The sequence below is a fragment of the Homo sapiens genome, chromosome 8 (assembly GCF_000001405.40).
Source record: "Homo sapiens chromosome 8, GRCh38.p14 Primary Assembly".
In the NCBI taxonomy this organism is placed as follows: Eukaryota; Metazoa; Chordata; class Mammalia; order Primates; family Hominidae; genus Homo; species Homo sapiens.
The window spans coordinates 22234163-22244907 of record NC_000008.11 but is presented as its reverse complement, the minus strand read 5'-3'; the positions used below and the strand labels follow the sequence as shown (position 1 = coordinate 22244907).

General features: G+C 45.6%; 1 annotated feature.

The window, feature by feature from the left end:
• Nucleotides 7278–7572: a silencer, noted in NCBI's record as "tiled region #11422; HepG2 Repressive DNase matched - State 12:CtcfO". NCBI's record gives its function as "represses a minimal TATA promoter and a strong SV40 promoter by Sharpr-MPRA in HepG2 cells {active_cell/tissue: HepG2}" and the evidence as "EXISTENCE:reporter gene assay evidence [ECO:0000049][PMID:27701403]".

The window sequence follows — 10745 nt, the reverse complement described above, 5'->3', positions numbered from 1 at the left end:
GTGGCGTGGAGGCGCCAAGATCAGGGTCCCGGGTTTTGTCGGCCACCACGCCGCAATGTGAGGATTCGCCTCGGCGGAGCCCCTGGGAGCTTCGGGGTAGCTGCTCGGGATGGGGCGAGGGGCGCGGCGCGGCGCAGAGAGTGAGACCTGGACTTAAGAGTCGGGGAGTCCTGGGCCACACCGAGCCCTGTCTGCGGGTTCTCCATGGTGACCTTGGAGTGGTCATTACCTCCGGGCAGCGACCTCGCCCACTTTCGGGGACCCCTTCCCTGTGCTCCTGGTGGAGTCCTGGGGTGAGGCTGTGGGGGCAGCTTGGAACAGCCGCAGTGGACCAACCGGTGCCCAGTCATACCCGCTTCTGATCACGAAGGCGGTGGCCCTCGTGTGCGCTCTTGGTCAAAGCCTGGAGGGAATTGGAATACCAAGTTTGCTCTACTGCTGGAGGAATTTAAAGAACTTTTGTTGACTCCAGCGTTTGTGATTTAACATAAAAGGTGTCATTTAATGTTATCCCCCATCCCCCAGACCGTATAAAAACCATGTAACAATATTATGGGGAGTTTGAGGAAAGGAAATCATTTCTACCAGAATGCCACGTAGAGTACTACTATTAAAAATTTTGTAATGTATCTAGTAGTCTTCACAGAGTTGTCGTATCACAATTTCGTGTCCTTTTTCTTTTCTTTTCTTTCTTTTTTTTTTTTTTGAGACGAGGTTTCTCTCTGTTGCCCAGACGGGAGTGCAGTGGTGCGATCAACACACCGCAACCTCTGCCTCCCAGGCTCAAGCCATGCTTCCACCTCAGCCTCCTGAGTAGCTGGGACTACAAGTGCATGCCACCACGCCCGGCTAATTTTTTCTTTTTCTTTTTTTTTTTTTTTTTTTTTTTGTATTTTTCGTAGAGACGGGGTTTCACTATGTTGCCCAGGCTGGTCTTGAACTCCTGAGGTCAAGTGATCCCACCCGCTTCGGCCTCCCAATGTGCTGGGATTACAGGCATCAGCCACCACGCCTGGCCTGTATCCTCCTTTTTCAAATAACATTTCTCTGTTGCGACATCAAAGACTGCGTAGTTCTCCAGTGGCTGTATCATGATTTAAGTATTTCCCTGATTGTTTCTTTTTTCCCTGTTTTAAATAATGCTGCAGTGAATGTCTGGTACATTTGACTTGCTTTTTTTCGATTTTGTTTTTGTTTTTGTTTTCTTTTGGATTATATTCCCGGGATAGATTTCCCGTCCTGGGATAACTGGCCAAAAGAAGATTTTTTTTTAAGTAAATATTTGCGATAGGCACGGTGGCTTAGGCTTGTAATCCCAGTGCTTTGGGAGGCGGAGGTGGGAGGATCGCTTGAAAGGCTCGGCAGTTGGAGATTTCAGTAAGCTATGATCCAGCCCTTGCATTCCAGCCTGGGTGACACAGCAAGACCCTATCTCTAAAAACATTTTTTAAATTAAACTTTTTATTTTGAGAACATTGTAGGTTCATGTAGAGTGGTAAGAAATAATGTAGAGAGATCCCAAGTACTGTTTACTCGTTTTCCCCCAGTAGTAACCTCTTGCCACCAGAATATTGACATTGGTACAGTTAAGATACAAGAAGTTTCCATCACCACAAGGATCCCTCTAGTTGCCCTTTTATAGCCACACCTCCCTCCCCCCACCTCCTCCCACCACTAATCTGTTCTCCATTTCTGCCATTTTGTTATTTCAAAAGTGTTACATAAATGGAATCATACAGTATGTGACTTCTTGGGATTGCTTTTTTCACTCGGCATTGTTCCCCGCAGATCATCCAAGTTGTGTGTATCAATAGTTCGTTCCATTTTATTGCAGAGTATTCATGGTTTGTTTAACCATTCACCCTTTGAAAGACATCTGGTGGTTTTCCGTTTGGGGTTATTATGGATAAAGCTGCTGTGAAAATACATGTACAAGGTTTTGTGTGAACGTAAATTTTTATTTCTCTGGGATAATTGCCCATGAGTGCAATCATTGGGTCATATGGTAGTTGTATCTTAGTTTTATAAGAAACTGCCAAGCTGCTTTCCACAGGGGCTGTACCATTTTGTACATGCACATTTTATGGTTCTTCATTCATATTGCTAAATTGCTTTCAAAAAGGATTGTGTGGCCGGGCGTGGTGGCTCACGCCAGTAATGCCAGCACTTTGGAAGGCCGAGGTGGGCAGATCACTTGAGGTCAGGAGTTCCAGACCAGCCTTGCCAACATGGTGAAATACTGTCTCTACTAAAAATACAAAAATTAGCTGGGCGTGATGGCACACGCCCATAATCCCAGCTACTCAGGAGGCTGGGGCACAAGAATCGCTTGAACCACAGAGGCGGAGGTTGCAGTGAGCTGAGATCACGCCATTGCAGTCCAACCTGGGTGACAGAGGGAGACTGTCTCAAAACAACAAAAACAAAAAAAACCCCACAAAAAAACAAGATTGTGCTGAAATGCATCAACACTAAGAATGTGTGTATATACAATAATCAAACGTATATACACACACACACTATATACACACACACACATTGTGGGCTTTTGAAGGACTCCTGGGTGAGGCTGTGTGGGCAGCCTTGGAACAGCCACATTGGATCAACCGGTGCCCAGTCCCACCCTTCCTGGGCTCACAGCAGTGACCCTCATGTGCACTTTTGGTCAAACCTGGAAGGAATCTGAATACCAAGTTTGCTCTACCGTTGGAATTTAAAGAACTTTTATTGGCCAGGTGTGGTAGCTCACACCTGTAGTCCCAGCACTTTGGGAGGCTGAGGTGGGTGGATCACCTGAGGTCAGGAGTTCAAGACCAGCCTGGCCAACATGGTGAAACCCTGTCTCTACTAAAAGTACAAAAATTAGCCAGGCCTGGTGGCGGGCATCTGTAATCCCAGCTACTCGGGAGGTTGAGGCAGGAGAATCACTTGAACCTGGGAGAAGGAGGTTGCAGTGAGCCAAGATTGCGCCATTGCACTCCAGCCTGGGCAACAAGAGCGAAACTCTGTGTCAAAAAAAAAAAAAAAAAAAGAGCCGGGCACAGTGGCTCACGCCTGTAATCCCAGCACTTTGGGAGGCCAAGGTGGGCGGAACACGAGGTCAGGAGTTCAAGACTAGCCTGACCAACATGGTGAAAACCCGTCTCTACTAAAAATACAAAAATTAGCCTAGCGTGGTGGCATGTGCCTGTAGTCCCAGCTACTTGGGAGGCTGAGGCAGGAGAATAGCTTGAATCCGGGAGGCGGAGGTTGCAGATAGCTGAGATTGCGCTGGAGTGTAGACTCCAGCCTGGGAGACAGAGCAAGATTCCGTCTCAAAAAAAAACAACAAAAAACAACTTTTATTGACTCCGAAATTAATGTGTGTGTAAACACACACACACACACACACACACACACACAGAGAGAGAGGTAGTATATAAGAATATATAATTTTAGGGCTTGGTGGCACCCACCTGTAGTCCCAGCTACTTGGGAGGCTGAGGAGAGAGGATCGATTGAGCCCAGGAGTCAAAGGCTGCAGTGAGCCTTGATTGTGCTACTGCAGTCCAGCTTGGGAGACAGAGGAGACCTTGTCTCAAAAAAACAAAAAAGAGAATATATAATTTTTTGGCCACATCCTTTTGAGTATTGGCTTTTAAAATTTAGAACTTTGTTTGCCAATTTACTAATATATTAATATTTTGTTATGTTGTTTTCTAAACAGATCCTTTTCAACTTCTTTCTTCATGTTGATTTTACAATAATCAAACCAAACCAATACCCTTTTCCTGTTCCCTACAGAGCTACACGCAGCAGCCCTTAGCTTCTAATTAGAGCACTGGATGAAATAGCTTTGATTTCATTCTGTTGGGCTTTGAAGTTCACCAGGTAGTAGCTTTTTTAGTTTTTTTTTTTTTTTTTGAGACGGAGTCTCGCTTTGTCGCCCAGGCTGGAGTGCAGTGGTGCAATCTCGGCTCACTGCAAGCTCCACCTCCCAGGTTCATGCCATTCTCCCGCCTCAGCCTCCTGAGTAGCTGGGACTACAGGTGCTCGCCACCATGCCTGCCTAATTTTTTGTATTTTTAGTAGAGACGGGGTTTCACCGTGTTAGCCAGGATGGTCTAGATCTCCTGACCTTGTGATCCGCCCGCCTTGGCCTCCCAAAGTGCTGGGATTATGGGCATGAGCCACCACGCCTGGCTTATTTTGTATTTTTAAAAATACACTCATTCATTTTAGAAAATTTGGAAAAATTTAAAAAGCACTGAGAAGAAAAAGCTATCCATTGTTATCCCATCAAATGTTTTTGTTTTTGTTTTTTGTTTTTGTTTTTTTTTTTTTTGAGACGGAGTCTCGCTCTGTCGCCCAGGCTGGAGTGCAGTGGCACGATCTCGGCTCACTGCAAGCTCCGCCTCCCGGGTTCACGCCATTCTCCTGCCTCAGCCTCCCGAGCAGCTGGGACTACAGGCACCCGCCACCACGCCCGGCTAATTTTTTGCATTTTTAGTAGAGACGGGGTTTCACCGTGTTAGCCAGGATGGTCTCGATCTCCTGACCTCGTGATCCGCCCGCCTCGGCCTCCCAAAGTGCTGGGATTACAGGCGCGAGCCACCGCGCCCGGCCCAAATGTTTTACATACTTGAAGTCATTTTTCAATGCATTTAGATTTTTTTAAATTGGGATATTTTACACAGGTTCTTTTAATATTTTTATCTATCCATTTATTTTGAGACCAGGTTTTGAGACTGGCTAATTTTTCTACTTTTGGTAGAGTCAGGGTTTTGCCATGTTTCCCAGGCTGGTCTTGAACTCCTGGGCTCAATCGATCTGCCCGCCTCAAACTCCCAAAGTGCTGGGATTACAGGCGTGAGCCACTGTGCCCAACTGAGCTTAGTTTGTTATTAATAACATTTTATTTTCATAAATATCATAATAAAGACAATAATCTCATTGTAACTTAATAATCAAACTCTTGAGGACAAATACAGTTTTCTGGGTCTAAATGCAGGTTTTAGAAGGTATAACAGATTCTGTCAAAAATCTGTTCTTGTGAATTTTTTTTTTTTTTTTTGAGACAGAGTCTTGCTCTGTTGCCCAGGCTGTAGTGCAATGGCACGATCTCCACTCACTGCAACCTCTGCCTCCCGGGTTCAAGCGATTCTCCTGCCTCAGCCTCCTGAGTAGCTGGGATTAGAGGTGCGCGCCACTATGCCTGGCTAATTTTTGTATTTTTAGTAGAGATGGGGTTTCACCACGTTGGCCAGGCTAATCTTGAACTCCTGACCACAGGCGATCCACCCGCCTCAGCCTCCCAAAGTGCGGGGATTACAGGCATGAGCCACCACGTCCGGCCTTTTTTTTTTTTTTCCTGAAACAGAGTCTTGCTCTGTTGTCCAGGCTGGAGTACAGTGGCTATTCACAGCTACAATCATAGCTCACTGCAGCCTGCAACTCCTGGGCTCAAGGGATCCTCGTGCCTCAGCCTCCAGTGTAGCTGGGACTACAGGTGTGCACCACCATACCCAACTAATTTTTAATTATTTTGTAGAGATGGAATCTCACTATGTTGCTCAAGCTGGTCTCAAACTCCTGGGTTCAAGCGATCTGCCCCCTTCGGGCATCCCAAAGTGTTGGAACTACAGGCATGAGCCATGGCGCCCGGCCTCCTGTGAATTCTTCATGGGCATTGAAAATGAATAAGAAACTGTTTTGCATATGTATTGGTAGAGTAAAAGGAATGTGAGGTATGAGAACGCTATCCAAGTTCAAGCTATTACATGTTCTCTGTGTAATTTGTCCTTGTTTATTTGCATCATTTTGCAGGCCATTCATTTGCTGGTTCCTCCTTATCGCCTTGACCCTTACATGTTAGAGAACTCCAGAATTCTGTCCTTGGGGCCAGGCACGGTGGCTCAGGCCTGTAATTCCAGCACTTTGGGAGGCCGAGGTGGGCGGATCACGAGGTCAGGAGCTCGAGACCATCCTGGCCAACAGGTTGAAACCCCATCTCTAGTAAAATACAAAAAATTAGCCGTGTGTGGTCGTGTGCACTTACAGTCCCAGCTACTTGTGAGGCTGAGGCAGGGAATCGCTTGAACCAGGGAGGCAGAGGTTGCAGTGAGCCAAGATTGTGCCATTGCACTCCAGCCTGGGCAACAAGAGCAAGACTCCATCTCAGAAAAAAAAAAAAAGAATTCTGTCCTTGGAATTCTTTCCTATTTTCTCTATACTAACTCCCATGACAATGGTTCAGTTTCTCAGCTTCAAGTATACTGTATGCTGATCACTCCTAAGGGCTCACCTCCAGTCCAGTGCTCCCTGAATTCCTGATGTGTCTCTGCCTATTCCACACCTCCAGCTGGATGTCTGCTGGGCATCTCGAAACCTATGTGCCCATCCAAACTTTTTTTTTTTTTTTTTGAGACAGGGTCTTGCCCTGTCGCTCAGGCTGGAGTGCAGTGACGTGATTTCCGCTCACTGCAACCTCCGCCTCCCAGGTTCAAGCAATTCTCCTGCCTCTGCCTCCTGAGTAGCTGGGATTACAGGCACCTGCCACCACGCCCAGCTAATTTTTGTATTTTTAGTAGAGACCGGGTTTCACCGTGTTGGCCAGGCTGGTCTCGAACTCCTGACCTCAAGTGATCCATCTGCCTCGACCTCCTAAAGTTTTGGGATTACTGGTGTGAGCCACTGCACCTGGCCATATCCACACTTTTTTGATCTTGCTCCTCAAACTACTTCTCCAAAGTGGTCCCCATCTCAGTAAATGGTAACTGCATCCTACTAGTTGTTCAGATTAAAAATCTTGCAGGTTTTTTTTTTTTTTTTTATGAGACAGGATCTTTCTTATTCTGTCACCCAGGCTGGAGTGCAGTGGCATGATCTCGGCTCACTGCAGCCTCAACCTCCCGGGCTCAAGTGATCCTCCCACCTCAGCCTCTCAGGTAGCTGGGACTATAGGCATGCCGCACCATGCCTGGCTAATTTTTTTTATTTTTTGTAGAGTTGGAGTTTCACCATGTTGCCCAGGCTAGTCTTGAGCTCCTGAGTCTCAAGTGATCTGCCCACCTCAGCCTCCCAAAGTGCTGAGATTACAGGCTTGAGCCACTGCACCCAGCCTTGCGACTCTTGACTCCTCTCTCCCATGCACTACTTCTAACATATCAGCTTTTTGACATACATCCGGGATCTTCCCACTTCTCACCACCTTGGTCCAGGCCACCATCATTTATTGCTGATTATTATAATTGACTCCTAATTGGCCTCCTTCCACCTGAATCCTCCAAGTCTAGTCTCCACATAGTGCAACTGACATGTTTCACGTTAGGTCACATCTCTGCTCTAAACTTCCCAATGGCTTCCCATTTCAGAGTCAAAATCAGAGGCCTTAGAACGCCCTGCGCCACGGCCCTGCACAATCTCTCCCTGCACCATTTCTCTAGTCTCAACTCCTTGCACACTGGCTCCCCCTGCTGTTTCTGGACTATATCAGGCAACATCCTGCTTCAGGGCCCCTGCACCTGTTACCTGGAATGCCCTTCCTCCACAAAATTCTGCATGGCTCCCGTCCATCCTTTAATCAGGTGTTTTTTGTTTTGTTTTGTTTTGTTTTGTTGTGTACCAAAGTCACCTTTTCAAAAAGTCCTCCTCTGATGGCCCTATTTAAAATCATAACTCCCGACTTCTCCATGATGTTTCCTATCTCTACTTACCGACTTATTTTTCTCTAGAGCATTTATCACCACCCAACAGACTATAAAGTTTGTTTATTTATTCACTTACCTATTTAATTATCTGTCTTCCCCCACCAGAATGTAAGCCCTATGAGAGCAGGGATTTTTTGTTTGTTTGTTTGTTCTCCTTTCCCTGCCTACAACTGCAGGATCCTCATTGCCTGAAACAGTGCCTGATACATAGATAAGCACTCAGTGAATTTTTTTAAATGGATGATTGAATTCCAATTTGTGATGAGATCAACTAGAAAATCTGGATGTGCATTAGAAAAATGAGTAGATTGTTTCCAGAAGGTAATTGAATTTTGGCACCATTGATGTCAAAGCCATCTGTGAGTTGTATTTTCATGTCTTCTCTATAGGTTCTTCTGTCAGTGACTCTTAATAGAGTCAGTGTGGCAAATTTTGGGTGCATGGAGGGAAGGCGCTTCATCATGGTGATCGCTTGTATTCAATATGTCACACTCTTCTGGTATTTCTTTCTTTTTCTTTTTCTTTTTTTTCTTTTTGGCAGTCTTGCTCTGTTGCTAAGGCTAGAGTTCAGGGACACGATCTTGGCTCACTGCAACCTCCACCTCCCGGGATCAAGTGATTCTCCTGCCTCAGCCTCCTGAGTAGCTGTGACTACAGGCGTGCGCCACCACGCCTGGCTACTTTTTGTATTTTTAGTAGACACAGGGTTTTGCCATGCTGGCCAGGCTGGTCTCGAACTCCTACCTCAGACGATTCGGCTGCCTCAACCTCCCTAAGTCCTGAGATTACAGGCGTGAGCTACCGCGCCTGGCCTTGTCCTGGTACCTTGCCAAGCAGTGCGCAGTGGTGTTCCGTATTTCCTACATCATGTTCTTCCACTTTGGGTATAACTTACTGACTATTCCAGTACTGAGGTTCTATATGAGTCCTTCTACTTACGATTCTCTTTCATCATTGTTCTTGATCTTTTTCTCTTGAAGTTCCTTTTATCCCTCCAACATTCTCTCAGTGTCTCTTCTGTAGCTTGTCTGAGTCCTTTAATATAATTCAGCATTTTCCCATGTCTTAAAGTGGTTAAATATTTAAGTTTTCTACAAAATCTAAAATATATATATCTTTGAGACAGGTTCTCGCTTTGTCACCCAGACTGGAGTGCAGTGAAGCGATCATGCCTCACTGCAGCCTCCAAATCCTAGGCTCAAGCAATCCTGCTGCCTCAGCCTCCAGAGTAGTTGGGACTATAGGCCCATGCCACCATGCCCAGCTAATTTTTGTACTCTTTGTGAAGACGGGGTTTCACCATGTTGCCCAGACTGGTCTCGAACTCCTGGGTTCAAGTGATCTGCCCACTTCAGACTCCTAAAGAGCTGAGATTACAGGTATGAGCCACTGCACCCAGCCATAAAATACTTTTTCTTTAGTTTAGTAAATGTTTTTAGAATTAGGTTAATGCTCTTCATTAAAATAGATGACCAGTGAAGGTTATAGGTTGTCTAAACATAATATCGAAAAGAAAAGGAAATAAGCACTGAGAAATCCATGTAGTTCTTATAAATACTCATGGCCCACTCTTGTCATTGTAAACACATGTAAAGGACAAAAGTGGTTTCCACGGACTACCTGATGTATGTGCATTCATTGGCTCACCGGATCCCCACACTGAGTTCAGCCATAGGGAAATACACATAAACATTTTAAATCTATAAAGTGCATAAGCAATATTAAGACTGTAAATATGTTTTGCTTATAGTCTCATTCTCTATTACATCAGACTCTATATTTGCTATGCATCTTTCTACCACGAGGAATCTGGCCTTGGTACTCAGACAGACCTGAATTTGAATACTAACTAGTTTTACTACTTATGGCCTGAGTCCTCTTTCCCACCCTCCACCTTTTTAAAATGGAGTTGATCAGCTGGGCATGGTGGCTCACACCTGTAATCCTAGCACTTTGAGAGGCCGAGGCAGGAGGATCACTGGAGACCAGGAGTTGGAGATCAGCCTGACCAACATAGTGAGAGCCTGTCTCTACAAAAAAAAAAAAAAAAAAAAAAAAAAAATTTGTTGTTGAGATGGAGTCTCACCCTGTCACCCAGGCTGGAGTACAGTGGCGTGATCTTGGCTCACTGCAACCTCCACCTCCCAGGTTCTGGGAGACAGAACAACAGAGCGAGACTCTGTCTCAAAAAAAAAAAAAAAAAAAAAAAAAGGTTATATGATGAACAGAAAAGATATTGGTAAGTGAAAAAAGCAGGTTACAAAACAGCATTCTTTCATTCTATTTTTGTTAATAAATTCTATACAAGTATTGGCTGGGTGTGGTGGCTCGCACCTGTGTAATCCCAACTACTTTGGAAGGCCAAGGCGGGTGGATTGCTTGCATTTAGGAGTTTGGGACCAGCCTGGGCAACACAGTGAGACCCCATCTCTACAAAAAATAAAAAAAATAGCCAGGTGTGGTGGTGTGCGCCTATACTCTCAGCTATTCAGGGGACTGAGGTGGGAGGATTACTTAAGCCAGGGAGGCAGAGGTTGCAGTGAGCCAAGTTTGCGCCACTGCACTCCAGCCGGGGTGACAGAGCAAGACCCTGTCTCGAAAAAAATTAATTAAAAAAATTCTTTATATGTATTTAATGTGTATTTCTGCATGGTGGGAAAATGAGAGATTTAAATTCCCTCTTAAATTTTAAAATGAAATGTGCTCGTCTCTCTACAATGATCATGTGCTACTTGTGTCATAAAAAGTTATGAAAAATAAAAATGCAGCAGAAGTGCATCTTGGCGGTTGTTTGGTTTCATAGGGAGTGAGTTATACTTGGCACACTATGGTTTGCTCTTACCACGTGTTTCCTCTCGTGATCTGTAGAGAAGTCCTCTGAGGCAAGAAGAGGCAGAAGCTCCTAAAGGGCTGTGCCTTCACCTGTCGCCGGCACGCAGCTCCACAAAGGGGCGCTCAGATGGCTATTGCTCATGCTTGGGCCACAGGACCTCGTGCAGTCTCCTCATGACATCCCGAGAAGGTGGGAGGCAGGGATGGTGCTGGGGCTAGTTTTCC